The sequence below is a fragment of the Homo sapiens genome, chromosome 11 (genome assembly GCF_000001405.40).
Source record: "Homo sapiens chromosome 11, GRCh38.p14 Primary Assembly".
NCBI classification, from domain to species: domain Eukaryota; kingdom Metazoa; phylum Chordata; class Mammalia; order Primates; family Hominidae; genus Homo; species Homo sapiens.
The window spans coordinates 761,929-786,361 of record NC_000011.10 but is presented as its reverse complement, the minus strand read 5'-3'; the positions used below and the strand labels follow the sequence as shown (position 1 = coordinate 786,361).

At 58.4% G+C, this 24,433-nt stretch overlaps 3 protein-coding genes and 1 long non-coding RNA gene across 19 annotated transcripts in view, besides 7 other annotated features; 1 reads left to right on the top strand and 3 right to left on the bottom strand.

The window, feature by feature from the left end:
* Positions 1,880-2,567: an enhancer, noted in NCBI's record as "NANOG-H3K4me1 hESC enhancer chr11:783795-784482 (GRCh37/hg19 assembly coordinates)". NCBI's record gives its function as "activates a minimal SCP1, AML or CMV promoter by ChIP-STARR-seq in primed H9 embryonic stem cells {active_cell/tissue: H9 hESC(primed)}" and the evidence as "EXISTENCE:reporter gene assay evidence [ECO:0000049][PMID:30033119]".
* GATD1-DT (GATD1 divergent transcript) lies at positions 2,065-8,784 on the bottom strand. Of its 2 annotated transcripts, NR_126342.1 has the most exons (4): positions 8,667-8,784; positions 8,144-8,249; positions 2,691-2,832; positions 2,065-2,338 (listed from the first exon to the last, which is right to left on the bottom strand). It is a non-coding gene; the product is annotated as a GATD1 divergent transcript (long non-coding RNA). The 2 variants fall into 2 exon arrangements; NR_126343.1 differs by lacking the exon at positions 8,144-8,249 and having other exon boundaries at positions 2,065-2,832.
* Positions 2,568-3,255: an enhancer, noted in NCBI's record as "NANOG-H3K4me1 hESC enhancer chr11:783107-783794 (GRCh37/hg19 assembly coordinates)". NCBI's record gives its function as "activates a minimal SCP1, AML or CMV promoter by ChIP-STARR-seq in primed H9 embryonic stem cells {active_cell/tissue: H9 hESC(primed)}" and the evidence as "EXISTENCE:reporter gene assay evidence [ECO:0000049][PMID:30033119]".
* Positions 4,727-8,784, bottom strand: LOC124900301 (uncharacterized). Its single transcript, XM_047427954.1, has 2 exons — positions 8,667-8,784; positions 4,727-8,245 (listed from the first exon to the last, which is right to left on the bottom strand). The coding sequence occupies exon 2, from the start codon at positions 6,197-6,199 to the stop codon at positions 5,681-5,683; it is 519 nt and encodes a 172-aa protein (XP_047283910.1). The 5' UTR covers positions 6,200-8,245; positions 8,667-8,784; the 3' UTR covers positions 4,727-5,680.
* Positions 8,375-8,474: a silencer, noted in NCBI's record as "silent region_3028". NCBI's record gives its function as "represses an Ori minimal core promoter by ATAC-STARR-seq in GM12878 lymphoblastoid cells {active_cell/tissue: GM12878}" and the evidence as "EXISTENCE:reporter gene assay evidence [ECO:0000049][PMID:35858748]".
* Positions 8,525-9,234: a silencer, noted in NCBI's record as "silent region_3027". NCBI's record gives its function as "represses an Ori minimal core promoter by ATAC-STARR-seq in GM12878 lymphoblastoid cells {active_cell/tissue: GM12878}" and the evidence as "EXISTENCE:reporter gene assay evidence [ECO:0000049][PMID:35858748]".
* On the top strand, positions 8,875-19,140 carry GATD1 (glutamine amidotransferase class 1 domain containing 1). Of its 15 annotated transcripts, none has more exons than NR_134868.2 (8): positions 8,875-8,963; positions 11,220-11,296; positions 12,249-12,354; positions 12,733-12,934; positions 13,841-13,935; positions 14,936-15,029; positions 15,258-15,369; positions 15,459-19,140. NR_134868.2 is itself a non-coding variant. In NM_182612.4 (8 exons), exons 1-8 carry the CDS (start codon positions 8,900-8,902, stop codon positions 15,463-15,465), a joined length of 663 nt encoding a protein of 220 aa, NP_872418.1. In that variant the 5' UTR covers positions 8,875-8,899; the 3' UTR covers positions 15,466-19,140. The 15 variants fall into 15 exon arrangements, 12 of the variants coding, with proteins under 12 accessions (NP_872418.1, NP_001305747.1, NP_001305753.1 ...); NM_182612.4 differs by having other exon boundaries at positions 12,733-12,840; NR_134867.2 differs by lacking the exon at positions 11,220-11,296 and having other exon boundaries at positions 12,733-12,840; positions 15,150-15,369.
* Positions 9,245-9,454: a silencer, noted in NCBI's record as "silent region_3026". NCBI's record gives its function as "represses an Ori minimal core promoter by ATAC-STARR-seq in GM12878 lymphoblastoid cells {active_cell/tissue: GM12878}" and the evidence as "EXISTENCE:reporter gene assay evidence [ECO:0000049][PMID:35858748]".
* Positions 20,610-21,023: a silencer, noted in NCBI's record as "fragment chr11:765339-765752 (GRCh37/hg19 assembly coordinates)". NCBI's record gives its function as "represses an EF-1alpha promoter that drives an FKBP-Casp9 reporter gene in an ReSE screen in HepG2 liver carcinoma cells {active_cell/tissue: HepG2}" and the evidence as "EXISTENCE:reporter gene assay evidence [ECO:0000049][PMID:32094911]".
* Positions 21,350-24,433, bottom strand: part of TALDO1 (transaldolase 1) — a 17,549-nt gene continuing 14,465 nt past the window's right edge. Inside the window, exons 5-8 of the mRNA NM_006755.2 lie at positions 22,843-23,018; positions 22,418-22,615; positions 21,929-22,074; positions 21,350-21,549 (exon numbers count right to left, since the gene is read on the bottom strand). Coding sequence (NP_006746.1) covers positions 21,517-21,549; positions 21,929-22,074; positions 22,418-22,615; positions 22,843-23,018 — 553 coding nt within the window. The 3' untranslated portion in view covers positions 21,350-21,516. The remainder of the gene's footprint in view (positions 21,550-21,928; positions 22,075-22,417; positions 22,616-22,842; positions 23,019-24,433) is intronic.
* Positions 22,575-23,774: an enhancer, noted in NCBI's record as "CDK7 strongly-dependent group 2 enhancer chr11:762588-763787 (GRCh37/hg19 assembly coordinates)". NCBI's record gives its function as "activates an origin of replication core promoter dependent on BRD2, BRD4, P300/CBP, MED14 and CDK7 cofactors, with strong dependence on CDK7, by STARR-seq in HCT116 cells {active_cell/tissue: HCT116}" and the evidence as "EXISTENCE:reporter gene assay evidence [ECO:0000049][PMID:35650434]".

Here is a 24,433-nt window from a genome sequence, read left to right as displayed (position 1 = left end):
TAAAACCGACACTGTTGCTCCCACCCAGGCCGCCCTGCGACAGCCTCCCTCGACTCCCACTCATGCTGCTGCCTCCTAGAAGTCAAGGAGGCAGCCTATCCCTTGAGCCCGTTGATCTGAGCCCAGCGTACAGAGAAGGCTCTGTGCAGACACTGCTCACACCTCCAGCTCCCAGCTCACCTGCCCCACAGGTGCCAGGATACCTCTCTGACTGGCCAGCAGGGCCCCTCACCATCCTCAGCCTGCCTTCCAGTCGCCCATTCTCTCCATTCTGCGGCTCGTGCTTTAAAAGCAACCAGCCAACCCTTTCTGATATAGTAGGGGACTTGAAAGGGGCTAAGAAGACTGAAGATGGTCTGCCACCTTTAACCACAAGGCTTGGCGCTTTGGTGCTGATATTCCACCCACGATGCTGCCTCATTTTACTTAGCGATTCTCTATTAAACGATGCTTAGATTTTCCAAAACTTTTTCAACTTCAGACAAAGCAGGAATGAAAATCCTTGTAGGCTGGGCACGGTGGCTCACACCTGTAATCCCAGCACTTTGGAAGGCCGAGGTGATAGATGGCTTGAGCTCAGGAGTTTGAGACCAGCCTGGCCAACACAGTGAGACCTCTGTCTGTACAATAAAAATATAGCTAGGTGCAGTGGCTCATGCCTGTAATCCCAGCACTTTGGAAGGCCAAGGCGGGCGAATCACGAGGTCAGGAGTTCGAGACCAGCCTGACCAACATGGTGAAACCCTGTCTCTACTAAAAATACAAAAATTAGCTGGGCCTGGTGGCAGGCGCCTGTAATCCCAGCTACTCAGGAAGCTGAGGGACGAGAATCGCTTGAACCTGGGAGGCGGAGGTTGCAGTGAGCTGAGATCATGCCACTGCACTCTAGCCTGGGTGACAGACCGAGACTCCATCTCAATAAATAAATAAATAAAAATTAGCCAGGCATGGTGGTGTGCGCCTGTGGTCCCAGCTACTCAGGAGGCTGAGGCAGGAGGATTCCCTGAGCCAAGGAGGTTGAGGCTGCAGTGAGCTATGACTGTGCCACTGCCCTCCAGCCTGGGCAACACAGCCAGACCCTGTCTCAAACAACAACAAAAACACCAAGAAAATCTCCGTAAAACCTATTCTGGGTTTGTGGTGCAGCATACATCTTTTCTGGGTTTATTGTATAAACACAAAATCTACTGTCTTAACCATTTTGAAGTGCACAGTTCAGCAGCATCATGCGTATCCATTACCACCGTCCACCTCCAGAATGCGTCATCCCTCCAGAGACTCTGTCCCCATTACACATGGACTCCCCGTCCCCTCCCCTTAACCCCGGGCACCCACCACCTATCTTCTGCCTCAATGGCTCTCCCAAATCTAGCATTGCAGATAAATGGTATCGTGTAACATCTGTCCTTTCAATTGGCCTATTTCACTCAGGGTCCACCCATGCTGTAGTCTATTCAACTTCCCTTCCTTTTTATTTTATTTTTTGAGACGGAGTCTCGCTCTGTCGCCCAGGCTGGAGTGCCGTGGCGCAATCTTGGCTCACTGCAACCTCTGCCTCCTGGGTTCAAGGGATTCTCCTGTCTCAGCCTCCCAAAGTGCTGGGATTACAGGCGCACGCCACCACGTCCGGCTAGTTTTGTATTTTTTAGTAGAGATGGGGTTTCACCATGTTGGCCAGGTTGACTCGAACTCCTGACCTCTGGTGATCCACTCACCTTGGCCTCCCAAAGCGTTGGGATTACAGGCATGAGCCACTGTGCCCAGCCCAACCTTCCCTTCCTTTTTATGGCTGATAAAAGGATGGAAAAAAGGAAAGGAGAAAAAAAAAAAAAAAGAAAGAAAGCTCCTGGCTATTTGGGTCTCACCATTTGATTTTTCCTCTTTGTGCCATTTGTGCAATTTTTTTTTTCTTTTTTGACAGAGTCTCACTCTGTTGCCCAGGCTGGAGTGCAGTGACACGATCTTGGCTCACTGCAACCTCTGTCTCCCAGGTTCAAGCGATTCTCCTGCCTCAGCCTCCCGAGTAGCTGGGACCACAGGAACTCGCCACCACAGCCGGTTAATTTTTTTTTTTTTTTTGTATTTTTAGTAGAGATGGGGTTTCACCATGTTGGCCAGCCTAGTCTCGAACTCCTGTCCTCAAGCGATGCACCTGCCTCGGCCTCCCAAACTGCTGGGATTACAGGCGTGAGCCACTGCTCTCGGCCTGTGCGTTTTTTCTTTGCGGGAATGCTCCTCACTTGTTGCATTTCTTGCGGTGTTTTGCATCCCGAGCCCTTTGCCGCTTGCAGCATCCAATTATCTCCTCCAGTCAGCAGCCACTTGCCTTCCAGTGTTTCTGGAGCACAGACGTTCCAAAAACCCGAGTTTATCAAATTGGAACCATTCTCCCATTACCGAGTAAGCTTTTAGATTCGTGGGCAGAAGGATATCCTGCCACGTTCGAGTCTCATGTTCCTGGCATTTACTCACGCGTAGGCGTCTCATCCATCTGGCACTTAGGTTGTGTGTGGAGCGAGCCAGGGGTCTCACGTTTCTTGCCCATGAGATGGGACGGCCCCAGCGCCAGGGAGTGGATGGTCCTCTGCCAGCCCGCAAGGCGGCGCCAGCTCCTGCTCCCGCTTCCCAGCACAGCCTGTTCTGAGCCAGGCCCCACCGCCTGCGACTGTGGCTCTTTGTCATGTACTCACCTCCTTATTCCTCTCTTTAATCTCCCGCAGGTGCTCAGCTACTGGCTTCCCTCCCGGGACGAGGTCGGAGTCTCCGCCTGGGATTCTGAGGCGTGGCTTTTGCTTCACAGTGCCCCTAAACCTCAGTAGTGTAGGAAACTTTCTGAAAGGAAAACAAATTCTCAGGGATGCCCAGAACTTATCAGTTCACTTTTATTACAGAACACTTTTTTTTTTTTTTTTTGAGACGGACTCTTGCTCTGTTGCCCAGGCTGGAGTGCAGTGGCGCGATCTCGACTCCCGGGTTCACGCCATTCTCCTGCCTCAGCCTCCAGAGTAGCTGGGACTACAGGCGCCCACCCCCACGCCCGGCTAATTTTGTTATTTTTAGTAGGGACGGGGTTTCACCACGTTAGCCAGGATGGTCTCAAACTCCTGACCTCAGGTGATCCGTCCACCTCAGCCACCCAAAGTGCTGGGATCACAGGCATGAGCCACACGCCCGGCCTCAGAACACTTCTAAGGTCTAAACAAATACCAGATATAAAATGTATATAAAAAGGTCACGCTGTGAAGTCAAATCGCTTATAAGGAAATCTGGAAAACGGGAAAAAAGCAGGAAAGCTCCAACGCGCAGCATCATCTCTGGGGACAGAGGTGTCCACGGGTCTGGGGTCCGGGGACTGTCTGAGGCAGGCTGTGCCCCCCAGGCTCTGCGGGAACTCCCTGGAGACCCGCAGCTCTGAGCCTTGCTGGGAACCTGCACCAGCATCTCAAGTCCCCCATCCTCGTGTTAGCAGCCAGTGACACACGTGGCTTCCTAGGGTGCACGTAGTATTTATCACCCAGTGCAGAACGGGGTGAGCTAGGGGGAGGTTTCTCTGTTTTCCTCTCCAGCATCCCCTCCCCACTGCTGAGAGGGTGCGACTCCTCTCCCGGGACTCCCACCCTAGTGCATTCTTGGTGAGGCTGCTGATCACCTCCGGGCCCTCCCCTGGACACGGGCAGGGTCCCAGGCGGAATCCTCCAGAAGCAGGGCACAGTGAGCAAGGCCCATGGGGGCACTTTCTGCTGCAGACTCCCACCCCGGTCCGCTGCAGGTCCCGGCCTGACTCTTGGGTGTCTCCCTCGTCCCAGGGAGGGCTCCTTGCCTTTCGGTGACCAGTCCCTGAGCACCTGGACACGCTCCGATCCGCCGTCTCCAGGCCCAGGCTGAGCTTGCACTTGCCCTGGAGGCTCGACGGGCAGAGCAGGGCCTGGGTTGCCCAACTGCGTGCCCCAGGTGGGAGCCAGTCGGGGCAGGAGAGAGGTGTGTGGGACCCGCCCCGGCACATGGGAAGGAAGGCACAAGGTAGGTTAGGGTCACCCCCGACTGCAGCAGCTCCAGAAGTGTGCTTGGGAGGGAACGGCCCCACCCCTCCCCGGGGCTGCTGCACCCTGTCCTCCATGTCCTGGACACTAGGCTAGGCCAGCTTGGGACAGGGCCTGCCTCCTTGTTGCAAGCCCCTCCAGGCCACAGAGGCCGGCATGTACCACGTCTGACGTCTCTGGCCAGTTCATGCCAGCCTAGGGGGGCAGACATAGAGCCAGCAGCCCCTGTCCTCTCAAGTGCTTCTGACGCCCAGGTGAAGGTACCCTCGTGCCCCAGCCCTGGCCCAGCCTCCCTGCGTCTTAGCGGCTGTCACTTACTGTCTGCTTCCTGCTTCTGGGTCTGCGTGACTCACAGGTGCTGGGGTCTAACTATCCAGACTCCACCCAGCCCAGCCTTGGTGAAAGGGGAACCTGGCTGAGACCCCGCTGGGAAAGGGCCCTGTCTGGGCCACGTCGAGGACTGCCCAACATGCCCCTTCCCAAGAAAGAAGCCCATGTCTCCTGGTCCCAGCCCTCAACCTGAGGTCCACCTGGTAGTCGGGCTGAGCTAACAGAGGGCACCCAGGGCAGCCATCTGTGGGGGATGTTCTCAGAAGGGGGTAGAGTCGGCCCTCAGGATCTATGGGTTCCGCATCCGTGGATTCAACCAAGCAAGGATGTTAAATATTTGAAAAAACAAACATGGGTGGTTGTGCTTTTTTTTTTCTTGTTATTTCCTAAACAACACAATATAGCAACTCTTCCCACAGCAGTTACATTGTATTAGGTATTATAAGTAATCTAGAAATGAGTTAAAGTACACAGAAGGACACGTGTAGGTTATATGCAAACACTACACCATTTTTTTTTTTTTGAGATGGAGTCTTGCTCTGTCGCCCAGGCTAGAGTGCAATGGCATGATCTCTGCTCACTGCAACCTCCGCCTCCTGGGTTTAAGCGATTCTCCTGCCTCAGCCTCCTAAGTAGCTGGGATTACAGGCACGCCACCATGCCCGGCTAATTTTTTGTATTTTTAGTAGAGACGGGGTTTCAGGCTGGTTTCGAACTCCTGACCTCGTGATCCCCCCGCCTCAGCCTCCCAAACTGTTGGGATTACAGGTGTGAGCCACTGCGCACAGCCCCCCGCCCTTTTTTTTTTGAGACCAAGTCTTGCTCTGTCGCCCAGGCTGGAGTGCAGTGGCGCAATCTTGGATAACTGCAACCTCCGCTTCCTGGGTTCAAGTAATTCACCTCCCTCAGCCTACTGAGTAGCTGGGATTACAGGTTCCCACCACCACGCCCAGCTAATTTTTGTATTTTTAGTAGAGATGGGGTTTCACCATGTTGGCCAGGCTGGTCTCAAACTCCTGACCTCAGGTGATCCACCCGCCTTGGCCTCCCAAAGTGCTGGGATTACAGGCGTGAGCCACCATGCCTGGCCAAACACTACACTATTTTATAGCAGGGACTTGAGCATCTGCAGGGGTCCTGGAATCAATTCCGCATGGATACTGAGGGACATCTGTACATCTGAGTCTGTGAGTCTCTGAGGCGGTGCTTCTGGTGCCCATGGACTTCGAGGGATGGTTAGGAGTTTGATAAGCGGAGGGAAGAGTAGCAAGTGCAAAGGCTGCAAGGGAAAGGCTCAGCATGCCCCGAATTCACCAACCAAGGCAGCAGGGGTGATGGGAGGTCCTGTGGCATGGGCCAGCCCCGAAGGGCAGACATCTCCAGGAACGGCCCCTCTCCCACCCATCCTTGGATTCCAGCACGTGCAAGTTCTGAAGGCAGGAAACGGAACAAAACCTTTTCACTGCTGATGACATGTCCTGTGACCCTCCCACACTGTGAGTCTCTCGGTCTCCAAACAAAGGCAAGACCCCAGGTTCCAGGGAATTGCCACTTGCTCTGGCAGAGCTGCTGATGCTCAGCACCCAACCCTGCTCTGCTGGGGCACTCACTGTGAGACGCGTCCGAACTCCACGGTCAAGGGGCAGGCGGTGAGCCCCACGCCAGGACTTGACACGAAGCTGGACAATGGCTGAGGAAGGAGGCTCAGTAGCGTGGGATGGTGAGGCGGGCGGTCCAATAGGCACAACCCTGGACACCCCACAGTGGGGCCAGGGACCCACATCAGTGACGCCGTTACCCCCAAGTCTGGGCCCCTTCCCAGGAGGCATCACCCGGACTGGGCTGCTGACTGCAGACCTCAGGTGCTCTGCCCATGGCTCCCCAATAGCTGCCCAATCATGCCCAGGTGTCCTGTCACCTGGCCCAATGTCAGCCCTAAACAGGGCCTGAGGAGCACCCTTTCCCACCAGCCAGGGGTAGAGAGGCGGGGAGCAGAGGCTGGCCTCTTGGAGCGGGGGAGATAGCAGTACCCTGGAAGCACCCTTTCCCACCTGCTGGGGATAGAGAGGCGCGGAGCAGAGGCTGGCCTCTTGCAGGGGAGGAGATGGCGGCACCCTGGGTGGGCACACAGGGTTGGGGGCTGCTGCGGAGTAGCGGAGCAGCAACAGACCACCTGGGGGCACCCACACTCCAGGGCTCAGCAGTGAGGGTACAAGGGTGATCTTGCCCACAGGAGACTCGGGACGCCTAGGAACTTCGGGTGCGGTTCCTGCCTCCTGGCTGGCTGCTGCCCTTGGGCTGATGCTATGGCTTGCTGGTGGGGCCCTGGCTGGCCACCCTGACTCCGAATGCCATGAGGGACATGCACTTTCCCAGGATTGGCTGTGCCGGGAACCAGCGATGCCCACACACAGACATGACACCTTGGACTACGGTGGGGACCCAAGGGTACACTAGGGGGCACACCACCTGTGGACACAGGTGCACACACACGCATTAGACTTGCCGCCAGCGTGAGGGCCAAGCCTGGCTTCCAGCTTCCTCCTCCATACTGCTGTTCTAACTTGGGGGAGGGGAAGAGGAATGGGGAGGGGGCTGCTGCAGACTCAGCCCTGCACCTGTGGCTGGTCCAGCTCAGCTCCATCAGGGACACCTTGGGGCCAGTGCAGGTGGGGCTGGGCAAGCAGGTAGACCTGCTCCAACCTGCCCCTCCTGCTCCCGGGTTTGAGGCCCACAGTGTGTGTCTGTGGGGGACAAGATCCTGTGCAGATCCAGAAAGCTCTCCAAGCGGCTAGGCCCAGCCTGTGGTGTGACCGCAGGCCTGCGAGGCTTCAGACACCTCCATCCACTAACACCCCCACCCACCTAACACTGGACACTCACTCAGCTCCGTCCTCTGCTCCCTAACCCAACTCTCGGCCTTGCCTGTACCAGGAGCTCCCAGCTCCCACTTCCCCTGTGGTGGGAGGGCTCTGTGTCAGGTGAGGCAGGGTGCACTGCTTGTCTGACGGGGGTCAGGGACCCTTCTCCAGGCTGGGCCAGGGGGAGCCAGAGGCCAGTGGCTTTTTTTTTTTTTTGAGAAGGAGTCTCAATCTGTCGCCCAGGCTGGAGTGCAGTGGCGCAATCTTGGTTCATTGCAACCTCTGCCCCCGCTGGGTTCACGTGATTCTCCCGCCTCAGCCTCCCAAGTAGCTTGGATGACAGGTGCTGCCACTGCTAATTTTTGTATTTTTCTTAGTAGAGACGGGGTTTCACCATCTTGGCCAGGCTGGTCTTGAACTCCTGACCTCGTGATCCACCCGCCTGGGCCTCCCAAAGTGTTGGGATAACAAGCGTGAGCCACCGCGCCCGGCGGAGGCCAGTGGTTTTCAGGGGGTGTGACCCACAGAATTCCTCACCTTGGCTGTTCCCAACCATGACGGTTCCCCTGGTTGGAGCAGAGGCTTGGTGGGACCTTCATACTGGCAGCAGGGGGCCAGGGACCTGGGCGGCCCGCTCGCCTGCTGGCTCTGTCTCAAGCGCCCTTTTGGCCTCAAAGGGTGCCTGCCTGTCTGCCAACCACTCCACGTGGTCTCACCCCCTCCAACTACAGTCTAAGGAAAAACTGCTTCAGGCCAGGCGCGGTGGCTCACGCCTGTAGTCCTCGCACTTTGGGAGGCCAAGGCAGGCAGATCGCTTTAGATCAGGAGTTCGAGACCAGCTTGGACAACACAGTGAGACCCCCTCTCTACCCAAAACACAAAAAAATTAGCTGGGCGTGGTGGAGTGTGCACCTGGGGTCCCGGTTGCTCAACAGGCTGAGGTGGGAGGATCGCTTGAACACGGTAGGCAGACGCTGTAGTGAGCCGAGATCACGCCACTGCACTCCAGAGGCCCTGTCTCAAAAAAAAAAAAAAAAAAAGAAAAACTGCTTCAATTCTCCTCACCAAAGCCAGCACGCCCGAGGTGTCCCCATCTCAGGAAGTGACACTCCGTCCTCCCAGGAGCTCAGCCCGACGCCCCACAACCCTGCAGGCCTCCCCGCGACGCCCCCGTCCTGGGCCGGCGGAGCCCACCCCGCCTCCTGGACCCCGCCGTCCCCCTCCTAGTCTCCGGGGACACCCGGAGCTTCTGACCCCGCAGCCCCCCGGTCTCCCCTGCTCCTCGGGTGTGGCCACCGGAACACCACGGGCACCTTCGCGCCCCGACACCGCCGCCTGGCTCTGCTGATGCCCGCGCCCCCACCCCAGGCCAAGAGCCCTACCCCGCGCGCGCTCAGACTGCGCATGCGGCCGGGGAGGACCCTCGCGACCCTACCTATTGGCCCCTGCCAGGCTCGGATGCCGAACCCGCCGGGGCCAAAGCAGGCGCGACCTGCGACCGCCCGGGCGCGCGGAGCGGCGGGCAGCCCAGCCGACCCGGACCGGGTACGAACGCGCAGGCGCCCAGTCCCACCCGGCTCCGCCCCCGGCCGCCAGGGCACGTGACCCGCGAACTCCCGGGCGCGCCCAGACGCCGCGCACGCGCAGACCCAGCGCCGAGCCCGAGCCATGGCGTCCGAGCGGCTCCCTAACAGGCCCGCCTGTCTGCTCGTGGCCAGCGGCGCCGCCGAAGGTGAGGCCCGGCGGCCGGGGCCAGTGTCCGAAGAGCGTCCGCGAGGGGGCTGCCCGGGGCGGGAGGTTCGGGACACGGTGGGCGCGCGTCACGTGGCGCCGGAGGCCGAGGCCGCTGGGGGCGCCGGGCAGGGGCCGGGGGAGGGCGGAGCGGGGTCGGTGTCGGGATGGAGCTCGGGGCGGGGACGGGGGCGGGGGTGGGGTCGCGGGTTGGTGGGATGGAGCTCGGGGCGGGGTCGGGGGGTCGTGATGGATCCCGGCGCCGCGTCGCTCCTCCGAGTCTCGTCTGCCCGGCGAGGCGGCCCGGGCCCGACGTTTCTAGCGGAGGGAGCCGCGTGCCTGGGCCTGGTCTCTGAGGCCGCTGCGCTGCGAGAGGGGAGCCCGGGTGTGGGGAGGGGCCATTCCGGGAGTTGACCCAGCTCTGAGGTCGGGCGGCCGCGGGGACCCTGACCTTCTGAGCCACCGGCTTCTGAGGAGACCCGGAGCCCCCTCCTGGAGAAGGCGCCCCGCGGCCCCCGTCCTGGGGCAAGGGTACCAGGGCAGTACTGGCCTGGGGCTCACGCGGGTCGGAGCGCAGCGGGGTGCGTCCCCTGGCGCTGAGCCTGCAGGGTCTCAGGGCAGCAGGGGAGGGATGAGCAGCGGAGCACGAGGGTGCCTGGCCTTGTTCTGAGCCTTTTGGAGAGGGAAGTGAGCAGCCCAAGGTCACCGCACCACGGAGAGGTGGGGGCCGGGGTTGCGACCCAGGGGTCTGCCTCTTGAAGTCTGTAGCTCCTCAAGTGTGGACGGGGAGATGGGGCTGTGGGGTTGTGGCGTCACGATGTGCTGAGCTCCAGGGGTCCTGAGTGATGCCCCCAGACTGCGGGTGGGAGGAGCCTCGAGTGGGGTTCAGTCCTGGGGGGGTGGGTTGGGGCTTGTTTCCAGAGCAGGTAGGCGTGAGGAGGTCCGGCATGTTGAGGACGTGGGGTCTTAGCGCCAGCAGGCTGGGGGCAGCACTTCAGGAGGCCGGAAGGGCGGGCAGCTGGGGGAACAGAGCCTGCGGCAGTCTACTGGGCACTTTGTTTTTCCTCGATAAGTGGACATTTTACAGTGAATATGTATTAACTTATATAAGAATGAAGAGTCTGGGCGCAGTGGCTCACGCCTGTAATCCCAGCACTTTGGGAGGCTGAGGCGGGCGGATCACGAGGTCAAGAGATCGAGACCATTCTGGCTAAAACAGTGAAACTCCGTCTCTACTAAAAGTACAAAAATTAGCTGGGCGTGGTGGCACCCTCCTGTAGTCCCAGCTACTCGGGAGGCTGAGGCAGGAGAATTGCTTGAGCCTGGAAGGTGGAGGTTGCAGTGAGCCGAGATCGCACCACTGCACTCCAGCCTGGCGACAGACCGAGACTCCGTCTCAAAAAAAAAAAAAAAAAAAAAAAAAGAATGAAGATAAAAATGAAGCTGAGGGATTGGGCCCCAGAGTTAAAATAAATGTAGAGAGATACAGCTCACGCTACTTTGGAATAAACTTGTAAGTGCTCTCCGGCAGGCAGGGTGGGCGGGGCTGTGTCCTTCCCCTGGTAGGACAGAGGCCCCCAGAGCCTTCTGGATTGGGTGTGGTGTGTTGAGTTTCTTTTTTAAAAGTTTTTTGAGGGGCCGAAGGATGCTAGGAAGAGCTGGCGGGGGAGGGGTATAATCCCAGAACCCTTGTGAGGAAAGGGTCCCTCTGAGCGGCTTCCCTGGAAGGGGTGAGGGGGGGCCAGGACACTTCTGCGTTCTCCATGGTGCCTGAGGGCCTGAGTCCCTGGTGGTTCAGTGAGAGGATGAGCTGAACTCTGTGACCCTCACACCCGGGTTTGCCTTTCAGAAAGGTCTCTCGTGGCTCTGTTAGCACTAGGATGAGGCTGGGGTGTGGGAGTGGCATGGACAGTTGAGGTGGGCTGCATCCTCTCCCAGCTTCTGGCTGAGGCTGGAGGTGACAGTGCCAGGCTGGGGAAAGAGCCCGCCATGGGGGATGCAGGCCCGGGGATGGCCTACCGTTCTGGCAGACCTGGCTGTGCCCCTCTGACTCATGCCTTCCCAGCTTCCTTCTCCTGGACGTGAATGGGTGGCTGGCCCTGCCCCAGGGCTTCAAGTAGTCGTTCTTGGGTGTAGGGGAGAGGGCTGCTCCTCAGCGTGTTCTGGGGTCAGTCGAGGCCATGGGGGTGTCTGGGTAGCCCCCTGAGGCGGGGCACGCTAGTCCTGTCGAGCCCACACTCACTGGGACCTTCTGCAGGTGTGTCGGCCCAGTCCTTCCTCCACTGTTTCACGATGGCCAGCACCGCCTTCAACCTGCAGGTGGCCACCCCTGGGGTAAGTCCAGCCTCTCCTTCCCCACTGGACACTTGGGGTCTGTCTCCACCTCTCCGGGGGCAAGGTCAGGAGACTGCCGCCGCGGCCTGGGAGGAGTGGGGAGCCCCTGCAGTTGGTGGAGGGGTGAAGAGTCTGTAACCAAACCCTGGTGGCGTCCCCCTGTCCCAGTCCCCATTTCCTGGGCTCTGATCCCCCATCTGTGATGAGGGAGACCTTTTCTTTTCCTTTTTTTTTTGAGATGGAGTTTCGCTCTTGTTGCCCAGGCTGGAGTGCGGTGGTGCGATCTCGGCTCACCACAACCTCCGCCTCCCGGGTTCAAGCAGTCCTCCTGCCTCAGCCTCCCGAGTAGCTGGGATTACAGGCATGCGCCACCACGCCCAGCTCATTTTGTATTTTTAGTAGAGATGGGTTTTCACCGTGTTGGCCAGGATGGTCTCGAACTCCCAACCTCAGGTGACCCACCCGCCTCGGCCTCCCAAAGTGCTGGGATTATAGGCGTGAGCCTCTGCACCCAGCCCAAGGGAGACCTTTTTGCTGTGGGTCTGTGCTTCTGCACGTGTGTGAGGAGGAGACCAAGGCGCAGCCCTGGTGTGAGGGGCACATGTTTCCACTGGGAGGAATTCTCCACCCTCTGATCGTGGGGGACCCAGGGATATCAGATGTACATAAGTCATAGTAAGGATGCATTATGTATTTGTCACTGCGGGTTTTTGTTTATTTATTATGTATAAAAATTTTTGGTTGGTGGGTTGGCTAGGAAATAAACCACTGAGGCTGCTGCTGGGACAGGCTCCCCGACCCTGGGAGATCCCGTGAAGGAGGCTGGGTGGTCGGGGGCCTTTGTGCCTCAGGGGGATGCTGTTGGGTCCCTTGTCAGCTTTTTCAGGCTCCCTCTGAGCCGACAGGGATATCCCTGGTGCTGACCCTCGGCCCCTGGGCTCTGCTTCTCCAGGGGAAAGCCATGGAATTTGTGGATGTGACTGAGAGCAATGCACGCTGGGTGCAAGACTTCCGCCTCAAGGCTTACGCCAGCCCCGCCAAGCTCGAGTCCATCGATGGTAGGCCCGGGACCCACTCCTTGGGGGTGGGGTGCCTGGGACCTTGGAGGGTCAAGGGTTCCAGATAGGTTTGGGGTCTTAGTGAGCTCCCTAGCTCAGCCCCTGAAGCCCTGTGACCATTTGGGGCAGCCTCCAGCCCCACATCCTGGGCCCCAGAGTTTCTGAGCCCCTCTGGGGAGGAGAGTTGGTGAGTGTGTGGAGACAGGAAAGTCAGGGGGGCCCTTGGGAGCTGTAGCCCATGGAGGAAAAGGGACAGATGACATCACCAGGCTGGCTGGTCCCTGTGGAGGGTCTGTCCTGGCCACGCACTCGGGCCTGGTCCTGCAGGTAGTCTCACTTTGACATGTGGCTGCTACCTGGTTTGTGGTCTCCCCCCAGGTGCCCGGTACCATGCCCTCCTGATCCCCAGCTGTCCTGGGGCCCTGACCGACCTGGCCAGCAGTGGCTCCCTGGCCCGTATCCTGCAGCACTTCCACTCTGAGAGCAGTAGGTGACCCCTGGGACCCAGGGGAGGGGTTGGATGTGCAGTGTCACAAGAAATGGGTCTCCCACCAGCAGAAGAGAGGTGGGAAGACTCCAGGTAGGCGTTTCTGGATCTCTGGTCAGTGGCCACTGCAGTGGTTGTGGGCAGGAGGCAGGGACTGCCCCTTCCCCCGACACACACAGACTTTGTCGTCTCCTGGTGACCATCTTGCAGGCCTCTGGGTGGGCTCCCGAGGGTGGGTGGCCATGCCCTCCTGAGCAAGGCAGGACACCGGCCTGATTCCTTCTGGGAAAGCCTGGCATCCAGGGCTGGGCTTGGGGCTCAAGGCCAGCAGGGGTGCAGGGAGGAAGGCTGTTTGAGGAGACCTGGCAGCTGCCCCGGCTCCGGGTTGGGCTGTGATGAGTGTGTCCACTGGCCGGGGTGGACAAGCCAGCGCTCTACACAGCACCCTTTGTGTGTTGGAGTGGGGCCGCCGTCCCCAGCATGGCCTGGACAGGCAGCAATTGTTTGTGGCCACCTCAGCCGTGGGAACACACTCAGCCTTTCGGATGGAGCCAGGATGTCCCCACTGCAAGGCACAGGCATTGCCTCAGGCTACCTCCCACCTGCCCAGGGGCGTCCTGTCTAGCCGGGGAGGGGCCTTTCCCACAGTGCCTGCCAGGCTATGCAGTGGGGCTGCCGGGCAGCGTCCTAGGGTTTGGTAAACAGACCTGGAACCTCAGGACCTCCTCTCTGCGTGTGTCTCGGCTGCCAAAACCTGAGATTTGGGCTCTAAACCAGAGCCTAGTCCTGAAGCACCAGCTCCCCCGAGCAGATTCCTGATGCCAGCTGTGCGGGCTGAGCCAGGACACCCGGGTGCTGAGTCCAGTTTCCAGGGAAACCTGGGAGGAGGGGCCAGGCAGGCGGCACAAGCCTGGGGGAGCCACAAGCAGGGGCATCTGGGAGGGGCTTCAGGGTGCGGGTGGCGGGGTCCAGGGCCTCAACGCCATGTACGGCTTTCAGAACCCATCTGCGCCGTCGGCCACGGTGTCGCCGCCCTGTGCTGTGCCACCAACGAGGACAGATCCTGGGTGTTCGACAGCTACAGCCTGACAGGGGTGAGTGTCTGGAGGCCGAGGCACGCTGTGCTCCCTGCTCTGTCCTCCCCCATCACAGCCAGAGGTGAGGTCGGAGGCTCCAGGGTGAGTGCCTGGAGGCCGAGGCACGCTGTGCTCCCTGCTCTGTCCTCCCCCATCACAGCCAGAGGTGAGGTCGGAGGCTCCAGGGTGAGTGCCTGGAGGCCGAGGCAGGCTGTGCTCCCTGCTCTGTCCTCCCCCATCACAGCCAGAGGTGAGGTCGGAGGCTCCCGAACCTCTGGCCCCTAGTCTCCCGGAAGCCCAGGCCCACTCACCAGGGGACGTGGGGAGGGAGGGGCATCAGACTTGCGTGTGCAGTCAGGAGGGGCTGAGAGCCCAGCCAGGGTGTCCTCGGAGACACAGCCTTTGTCAATCTGAGGCCCAAAGGCTGTGAAGTGGGCTCTGTGGACACTGGGGGCGGCTGTGGGAGTGGCTGATCCACAGGCCCTGAGGCAGGGAGAGGTGGCTGCTGTGCGGAGGCTGGTTTCACTGGAAGTTAAACAGGCCTGGCCCCCAGCTCAGATGTCACTTCCCCTGCTGAGGGGACCCTTCCTCAGTGGGTACTCAGTGGTGCCCTCCGAGGGGTGACACCAACCCAGTCTCAGGTTACAAGTGGGCGTGACCCCTTGAGTGAGTGGTTAGATTCACTCCTGCCCAGAGGGTGCCCCGCCCCAGCACTCTGCCCAAGGGGCTCACCCCACCAAGCCCTTCTCATTCTAGTCACCTGTGTGCTCCGGTGCTGGGGGAGCTGGCCCGTCCTCCTGTAGTGGCCGTGTCGCTCTCAGGGACACCCCATGGGAAGATGGCTAGACTTTGTCATCTCTCCGCCCTCCAGCCTTAGCAGCTGTCCCTGTTATGAGCAGTGACACCCCCGGTCCCACTTGGTTGGGTGAGGCTCCCTGCCCTGACTTGACCTTCCTGACCCCTGGGGTGGGCCGCAGGGCCTGGGCCTGTCTCAGGAGCCCCCACCCCGCTCCCGCAGCCCTCTGTGTGTGAGCTCGTCAGGGCCCCCGGCTTCGCCCGCCTGCCGCTCGTGGTGGAGGACTTCGTGAAGGATTCGGGCGCCTGCTTCAGTGGTGAGCCTCGAGGGTGCCCCCTGCACTTACAGAAGATGGGGTGGGGGGCTTCCCTGCTGCAGCCTGGGGGAGAAGCCTCCTGGGCCCTGGGTTCTATAGACCCCCATGGCACTGACTCAGACCCAGACAGGCTGACCTACTGCTGACCCTGGGAGCCCGCCTGGAGTTCGAGGCTCTCAGTGGGTGAGGTGGACATTGCCTGAGGTTGGTGCCCTCGGTCCTCCCCAGCAAGCGAGCCTGACGCTGTCCACGTCGTGCTGGACCGCCACCTGGTCACAGGCCAGAATGCCAGCTCCACTGTCCCGGCCGTGCAGAACCTGCTCTTCCTCTGTGGCAGCCGGTGAGGGCACCAGGGTGGGCACATTCCTGCCACATCAGAGCTGCACCCGGTGCTTTTGCCCAAGCTTTGACCACACGTCTGTCCTGCAGGAAATGAACCTGCTGGGTAGATGCACCCCCTGAGACAGCCCAGGTGTCTCCAGAGGCAGCCCCGTCTCAGGCTTCAGGGACCCCGCCTCTTCCCTCCTGACAAGGGCCCTGGATGGCAGCCTGGTCTGGCCCTGATGGGATTGTTGGAGGCCTCCTGGAATCAGCTCTGAGGGGGTGTCGGCTCTCCTGGAGGGTCCAAACCCCCATCCTCCTGCATGTTCTCTGGTAGGAGGCAGAGAAAAGACCCCACGTGCCTGGAGAGCTGTGCTAGCTGCTAGGTGGTCCTCGGGAATTCCAGGCTGGGTTTTCTAGGGAGGACTGGTTGTCACGTGTGGTCACTGTTGACTAGACAGAGTCGGCTCGGGGGTCCTCTGTGTGGGTTTGCCCTGCTGTGGCCTGTCTGCCACCCACCACCTCTTTCACTGTTGGTGGGGGCCTTGAGGGGAGGGCCCAGCCGGCGGGAGCTGGCTCAGAACTTTGGCCAAAGGTGAACGGAATTTTTTAGGAGCAGCAGCCTCCTGCCCCAAGGCCGACCGGCACTGGCAGCACTTTCCTGTTGAAGAAATCTTCCTGGCGTGTGGTTTCAAAGTGTAAGCACCTCAGTGATGCACCCTGTCCTAAGCATTGAGAGGCACGTTTACTTGTGAATATGAGACCATGAGATTCTCAATGATAGGAAAGTGCTGTCCCCCACGGCCTTGCACAGTGGCCTCGGGTAGAGCGGCTATCAAGAGCAGACAGTGGTCCAGCCTGCTGGGCACCTGGCCTGGGCTGTGGCCCTCCAGCGGGCTGCCCCCTGGCCCCAGGTTAGGGCGTCCAGGAGAGGCTTAGGCCCTCTACTTCCTCACAGTTCCCCAGTTTGAGCCATCGAAGGCCTTCTTCCTGCCCACCTCCCCGTCTCAGCCACAGCCGTTCCCAAGCACCAGCGTGGCTCCTGGTGCCAGTGACCTGCCAGGAGGCCCCTTGTGATTATAAAACCGTTCAGTTGGGCCGGGCGCAGTGGCTCACACCTGTAACCCCAGCACTTTGGGAGGCCGAGGCGGGCGGATCACGAGGTCAGGAGATCGAGACCATCCTGGCTAACATGGTGAAACCCCATCTCTACTAAAAAACAAAAATACAAAAAGTTAGCCTGGCATGGTGGTGGGTGTGTGTAGTCCCAGCTACTTGGGAGGCTGAGGCAGGAGAATGGCGTGAACCTGGGAGGCAGAGCTTGCAGTGAGCTGAGATCGTGCCACTGCACTCCAGCCTGGGCAATAGAGTGAGACTCCATCTCAAAAAAAAAACGTTCAGTTGGCTGGGCGCGGTGGCTCACGCCTGTAATCCCAGCACTTTGGGAGGCCAAGGTGGGTGGATCATCTGAAGTCAGGAGTTTGGGAAAAGCCTGGCCAACATGGTGAAACTAAAATACAAAAATGAGCCGGGTGTGGTGTCAGGCGCCTGTATTCCCAGCTACTTGGGAGGCTGAGACGTGAGAATTGCTTGAACCTGGGAGGCGGAAGTTGCAGTGAGCCAAGATTGCGCCATTGCACTCCAACCTGGGCAATGAGTGAAACTCCGTCTCAAAAATAAAAAATAATAAAATAAAGCCGTTCAATAAGGAGAATTTGGAAAAAAGTGGAAGAAGGAAGCGCTGCAGCCACATCCCCGCCCTGAAGGCTGCGTCCCTCCAGTGCCTCGCAGATTAGTCAGGATGCCCACTTAGCACTGGCCACGGGGCCTTGCTCTGTCCCGGGTCCACTCTCATCCCCGTGTGGTGATGGACCTCTGTGGACAAATGCTTTTTATTTTATTTATTTTTTGAGATGGAGTTTGTCTCTCGTCACCCAGGCTGGAGTGCAGTGGCACAATCTTGGCTCACTGCAACCTCTGTCTCCCGGGTTCAAGCGATTCTCCTGCCTCAGCCTCCGGAGTAGCTGGGATTACAGGTGTGCGCCACCACGCCTGGCTAATTTTTGTATTTTTCGTAGAGACCGAGTTTCACCATGTTGGCCAGGCTGGTCTCGAACTCCTGACCTCAAGTGATCCTCCCGCCTCGGCCTCCCAAAGTGTTAGGATTACAGGCGTGAGCCACTGCGCCCGGCGTAATTTTTGTTTTTAGTAGAGATGGGGTTTCATCATGTTGGCCAGGCTGGTCTTGAACTCCTGACCTCAGGTGATCCATCTTCCTCAGCCTCCCAAAGTGCTGGGATTACAGGCGTGAGCCGCCACGTCCGGCTAACAAGTACTTTTTTATTTTTATTTTATTTTTTGGATGGAGTCTCACTCTGTCGCCCAGGCTGGAACACAGTGGCACGATCTCGGCTCACTGCAGCCTCCGCCTCCCGGGTTCAAGTGATTCTCCTGCCTCAGCCTCCCAAGTAGCTAGGACTACAGGTGCACACCACCACACCCAGCTAATTTTTGTATTTTTCCTTTTTTTTTTTTTTTGAGATGGAGTCTTGCTCTGTTGGCAGGCTGGAGTGCAGTGGCGCGATCTCAGCTCACTGCAACCTCTGCCTCTGCCTCCCAGATTCAAGCAGTTCTCCTGCCTCAGCCTCCCGAGTAACTGGGACTACAGGTGCATGCCACTACGCCCAGCTAGTTTTTGTATTTTCAGTAGAGACGGGGTTTCACCATGTTGGCCAGGATGGTCTCGATCTCTTGACCTCATGATCTGCCCGCCTCGGCTTCCCAAAGTGCTGGGACTACAGGCAAGCTCATGTCTTAATGTCCTAGTCCATTTGGGCTCCTATAAGAAAATACTGTAAACTGGCCGGGCACGGTGGCTCACGCCTGTAATCCCAGCACTTTGGGAGGCTGAGGCAGGTGGATCACCTGAGGTCAGGAGTTCGAGACCAGCCTGGCCAAGATGGTGAAACCCCGTCTCTACTAAAAATACAGAAATTAGCCGGGCGCGGTGGTGGGCGCCTGTAATCCCATTTACTTGGGAGGCTGAGGCAGGAGAATCGCTTGAACCCAGGAGGCGGAGGTTGCAGTGAGCTGACATCGTGCCACTGCACTCTAGTCTGGGTGACAGAGCAAGACTCCATCTCAAAAAAAAAAAAAAAGAAAATATTGTAAACCTAGTGGCTTATAAACAACAGAAATCAGTTTCAGTTTTGGAGGCTGGAAGCCCAAGATGAAAGCACCAGTAGATGCAACCTCTTTTGTGAGGGTGATGGTCCCATGATGAGGCTGTGCCCCTGCCCTGTGACCGGATGACCTCCCAAATGCCCCACCTAATACCATCCCCTTGCAGGTGAGGACTTAAGCAGGTGGGTTTTGGGGGGACGTGCTCAGGCCACAGCAGGGTGCATGAAGAGCCAGTGAGCCTCATTGAGCCCCTCTGGTCAGCCAGATCTGACATTGAGCCCAGCATTGAAGATCAAAGCAGGTGGGGCTTTGGGATGTGAAGTGGGTTCTGACGCGGGGCCCCACAGACCTGTCTCCGCGTGAGCTGCCTGCAGGCCCCTGCGTCATTCCTCAGCTGCGTGCGAGGCCTCTGGCTTGGAGAGCCTCCCCGCTGTGCACAGTTCTCTCTTTGCCAGGGCAGGGCTTGGGGCAGCACCAGGCTGGGGCAGAGGAGGAAAGCAAGAGGACAGACCTCCAGAAGAGCAGCGGAGGGCGGGTGAGGATTTCCCCATATACCAGTGTGTGTTCATCTACCCATGAGGAATAAAACCATGCAGCAGCATGCAAATGGTGTCCTGGTGTTCGCAGCAGAACTGCTCATGGTAATGGATAAGTTGTTTTCATACAGTGGGTTGTCAATATGTTTAATAATTGTTGGTATCTATTAATAAGGGCAATATATTCATATGGTGGATTATTTGGCTATTAAAATGGAATGAAGTTATTTTTAATAGGATCTTGCTGCATTGCCCTGGCTAGAGTGTGACTATTCACAGGTGCAGTTACTGCTCGCTGCAGCCTTGAACTGGCCTCAAGTGATCCTTCCACCTCAGCCTCTCCAGTAGACAAGACTGCAGGGACACACCCCCATGCCCAGCTACTGCAGGGACACAGCCCCATGCCCGGCTAGGAGGGACACACCCCCGTGCCTGGCTAGGAGGGAAGTTCTTTTACGTTCTATGATGTGGGCGGACCTGGACAGAATGCTGAGTGAGTGAAAGAAGACTGTCTCAAAAGGCCTTTACCCTGTGATACCATTTTTGTGAAATATCCAGAAAATGTAAGTCAGACAGAAAATAGATTGTTTGAGGCTGGGAACAAATAGGTATGAGATTTCATTTTGGGGTGATGGTTTCACAGTTCTAAGATGACTGAATCATAGGGGCAAGTGGGTGAACTTGATGTTTGCAAACGACACTCACAAACTTAGTCACATCCCCAGAGCCCCATTCTGCTGGGCCTCCTTGGAGATAGTGGTGCTGTTAATAATTGGGAGCCACAAGACCTTTGATGTCCTCTTAGGACTTAGCTTGTTGACCGGCTCGGAGGCAGAGGCCTGGCCTCCTGTGGGAAGCCTTGAAGGGTGGGAGGGACTCCTCAGCAGTGGGGGTTGGTGTGGGGAGGGCTCTGCCCACTCAGCTCTCCACCCCAGGAGGAGCCCTGCACTGGTCTTGATCAAGGGCACTGGCAGCCCAGCTGCCTCCCTGGCCTGCTGCTCTGCCCGAGTTGTCCCCTCTTGCACCCTGGATGGGCGGGCATGCCCAACCCAGACTGGAGTTGAGGGGCAGTGGCCAGATGGCTGGTGTAAGGTAGGGTAGCTTGTTTTAGGTTCAGGGTGAGAAGCTGCAGCTCCATCCTACAGCCCAGTGCTGTAGGATCCGTAAAGGTGGCCGGGTGCAGTGGCTCAGGCCTGTAATCCCTGCACTTTAGGAGGCCGCAGAAGGAGGATCGCATGAGCCTAGGAGTTCGAGACCAGCCTAGGCAGTGTGGTGAGACCCCCCATCTCTACAAAAAATAGAAAATTAGCCATGCATGGTGGTGCGCGCCTGTAGTCTCAACTACAGGCGGGAGGATCACTTGAGCCTGGGAGGTGGAGGCTACAGTGAGCCAAGATTGCATCACTGCACTCCAGCCTGGGCAACAGAGTGAGGCCGTGTATTGAAAAACAGGGAGAGGCCGGGCATGGTGGCTCACACCTGTAATCCCAACACTTTGGGAGGCCGGGGTGGGTGGATCACAAGGTCAGGAGTTCAAGACCAGCTTGGCTGAAATGGTGAAACCCTGTCTCTACTAAAATACAAAAAATTAGCCGGGCATGATGGCAGGCGCCTGTAATCCCAGCTACTTGTGGGGGCTGAGGTAAAGAGAATCGCTTGAAACTGGGAGGCGGAGGTTGCAGGGAGCCGAGATCGCACCACTGCCCGGGGCGCACTCCAGCCTGGGCGACAGAGTGAGATTCCGTCTCAAACAACAAAAAAAATGGGGGTGGCGACTTCAAGGCCAGTGGCTGGTGCATGTCGTGCTGCCCCCACAAGGTGGCACCATGACCCCATGCAGGAACCTGGCATCCCATGTAAGGTCTCAGCCACAACAGGACAGGAGGGGGGCGGGGGGCATGGGCAGGGCAGCCTTGACAGGGAACAGGAGGCCCAGGCCCTCAAGAGCAGGAGGGAGGGTCCGGCTGGGACTGCTCCTCTGAGAGGCATCCACATCTGCCCACGCTTGGAGGCTTGAGACTGTTCATCTGTGACCCACCTGGGACAGCACCTTGGGAGCCCCTGGCATCAGAAGCCTGCCCTTTGCCTAACTCCACCAATGGCCTCCCAGCAACAACCCTGACCTGGGTTCCCAGGTGGTGGCCCAGGCGGTGGGTTGTGTCTGGGGTACCCTGACCCCGACCCCATCTCTGAGTCCTAACCTAGGTTACAGCCCATCACAGCTGGGGCAGGTGATGCTTAGGGGACAAAGGGGACGGAGACAGTGAATGAAACAGCACAGGAAAAGTGACTGCTTTAATGTATTAGGCAAAATTTTACATAAAATCAGAAATCTATGATCTGTCCCTGCTCCAATTTGTAAAAAACGCAAGATTCATCAGAAGCCACGTGCAGTCAGATCCCAGCTGGCCGGCGGTGCAGATCTGGAGTCCAGCCTCAGGGATGCGCTACTTTCCATTCTCTGCATTGAACATTCGTTCCTAGAAACAAACAGAGCACGAGCTGTGTCTCCCCACCCTACCTTCTGCACCTTGAAGCCTCACAAGGCACCATGTGGAAGGAGGGAGGCCCTTGTGGGGTCTGCACTCTGTGTGGGGGCCACGGCCACAGGGTGGCCAATACCACAGTCACCACACAGGCCAGAGAGGAGCCAGGACCCACCAAGCATCCTGGGGGCACCCCTGGGTGCCATGCACCCTCCACCCTGGGATGGCCTCAACAGGCCCCACTTGCTGGACAGCACGTGAATGAGACCTGGGGTCTCACCAAAGTTTTAACTCTGCCCAGCTTGAACCCCGACGCCCAGGCCCGGGCTCTCATAGGGCTTGGCATATGTAGGTACCCACACACAACACTCACTGTCAGCATCCGCTCCAGCTTCACTGCATCAGCGGCAAACTTGCGGATCCCGTCAGAGAGCTTCTCCACAGCCATCTGGTCCTCGTTGTGCAACCAACGGAAAGACTTCTCATCCAGGTGGATTTTTTCCAGGTCACTGGCTTGGGCTGGGGGACAAGAACCAGCCTTCCATGCCTGCTCCATGTCCCTGCCCACCTTGGCCCCTTGGGCTCAGGGCCTGAACTGCTGCACCCAAGCATCTCCCACCAGGGCCAGGCCTTGGCCCCAGCAAGGCTCACGCTGGAAGTGGGGTTCAGCCCACAGAGCCTTGGCTGATGACTTGAGTGAGATGTGTTAGGAAAGCCAAGCCCTCCGTTGAGGTCTACTTCACCCTCATGTCTCCCAAGATGAGCTCGCCCCACAGGTGGGAGGGATCACCCACAGGGCAGCGTGGCACGGCAGTGCTGGCCTTGCCCGAGCAGGAGCCACAGCTGGGCAGTGGGGCCTCACCCGCCTTGGCTGAGAGCACAGGCACCAGCTTGGCGTTGTCCTGCAGCAGCTCTCCCAGGAGCTTGGGTGAGATGGTGAGGAAGTCACAGCCGGCCAGTGCTTTGATCTCGCCCGTGTTGCGGAAGGAGGCGCCCATGACAATGGTTTTGTAGCTAAACTTCTTGTAGTAGTTGTAGATTTTAGTGACACTCTTTACCCCTGGAAAGAGACCAAGCTGTGACCAGGAAGGCTTCGGCAGAGGTACCACCCCACCTGCCCTCCCAGTGCCTGCCGGCTGCACTACCTTGAGCCGCCACCCCTGCCTGCCCCGCGCCGACCTGTGCACCTCACTGCTTGTTGATGCGGCAGCTCCGTCTCGGGCTCTTCCTGCCTGAGGTGCTGCTGAGGCTGCTCCCCTTACCCCATTACCACAGAGGGACCCTCACCAGGGTCTTCCAGGGGCTCATAGGATTTCTTGTCGGTGTTTGCCACATGCCAATCAAGGATGCGCCCAACAAATGGGGAGATGAGGGTCACACCCGCCTCGGCACAGGCCACAGCCTGGGCGAAGGAGAAGAGTAACGTCATGTTGCAGTGGATGCCGTGCTGCTCCTCGAGCTCCCTGCGGGGCGGGGACAGGTGAGGGCGGGGCAGGTGAGGGCGGGGACAGGTGAGGGCGGGGGCGGGTGAGGGCGGGGACGGTGAGGGCGGGGATGGGTGAGGGCGGGGGCGGGTGAGGGCGGGGGCAGGTGAGGGCGGGGCAGGTGAGGGCGGGGCAGGTGAATGCAGGCCAGGTGCCCACCCAGAGCCACAGGCTGCCAAAGACGCTCACGGGCCTTAAACTAAAAAGGCAGGAACAGGCTCATGCCATTGTTAAGAACAAATCGGTAAGACTCGAGGGCTCTAAGTGGATAGTGGGTTATGGGTGACCAGGATTTTCTCCAACCCACATGACACAATAGACAAAGGCAAGGGAGGCCCTCTGGGTGCCCGTGCTCTTGCGCCAGGCCGTCACCTCATCCCAGAACTCACCAGGGCTCAGCTCCCAGGCTAGAACCACTGAGTCATCTCTGACCACATTCCAGTCCTCACCCTGTTCCACCCTACCCATTCCTGGGGCCACCCTGCAGCAGGCCCGTAGCACCCTGGTTTCTGCTGAGAGGAGCCCCTTGGCCTCACTAGGCCACTTGCCCAAATCCCAGTGCACTTTGGACATCCTGGGGTTGATCCCCAAGGACGGAGCAGTGCCCATACTTTGCCATGTGGCTGGGGCATGGGATGAGACAGCCAAGGCTCTGCTCAGGCACCTTCAGACACAAGTTCCCTCCCCAGGCGCCTCTGCCACATGGCCACACGGGGGTGTTCGAGGGGGACAGCAGATGGCACAGCTGAGTTGGGAAACAGCCTGCAGTTCCTCCAGCAGTCACCCAGAGACTCCACTCCTAGGCATATGCCCACGAGAAACAAAAACACATGTCCAGGACAAAACTTGCACATCTGTGTTCAGAGCAGCAGATGTGTTCATAGCAGCAGATGTGTTCAGAGCAGCAGCATACATCACAGCCCGAGAAATGGAAACCGACCACAGCAATATACATCACAGCTCAAGAGATGGAAACTGACCAGGTGTCCACCAACAGATGAATAACTGTGGCCTATCCATAAAATGGAGTATTTTCCAACATATAAAAACAAATGGTCCGGCCAGGTGCAGTGGCTCAAACCTGTGATCCCAACACTTTGGGAGGCCGAGGCGGGCGGATCACCTGAGGCTGGGAGTTTGAGATCAGCCTGACTAACATGAGAAACCCCATCTCTACTAAAAATATAAAATTAGGCGGGAGTGGTGGCGCCTGCCTGTAATCCCAGCTACTCCGGAGGCTGAGGCAGGAGAATCTCTTGAACCCCAGAGGTGGAGGTTGCAGTGAGCTGAGATAGCACCATTGCACTCCAGCATGGACGAGAATGAAACTCCGTCTCAAAAACAAAAAAAAACAAAAAAACACACAAATGAGGCCAGGCACAATGGCTCATGCC

What these genes read in the sequence shown, in the direction of transcription:
- LOC124900301 (XM_047427954.1), bottom strand. Translation starts at nt 6,199, where the DNA reads ATGCCTCCTGGGAAGGGGCCCAGACTTGGGGGTAACGGCGTCACTGAT.
- GATD1 (NM_182612.4), top strand. Translation starts at nt 8,900, where the DNA reads ATGGCGTCCGAGCGGCTCCCTAACAGGCCCGCCTGTCTGCTCGTGGCC. An exon ending in CAAGCTCGAGTCCATCGATG is followed by an intron (nt 12,355 to 12,732) that starts GTAGGCCCGGGA and finishes GTCTCCCCCCAG; the next exon opens with GTGCCCGGTACCATGCCCTC. An exon ending in GCACTTCCACTCTGAGAGCA is followed by an intron (nt 12,841 to 13,840) that starts GTAGGTGACCCC and finishes TACGGCTTTCAG; the next exon opens with AACCCATCTGCGCCGTCGGC.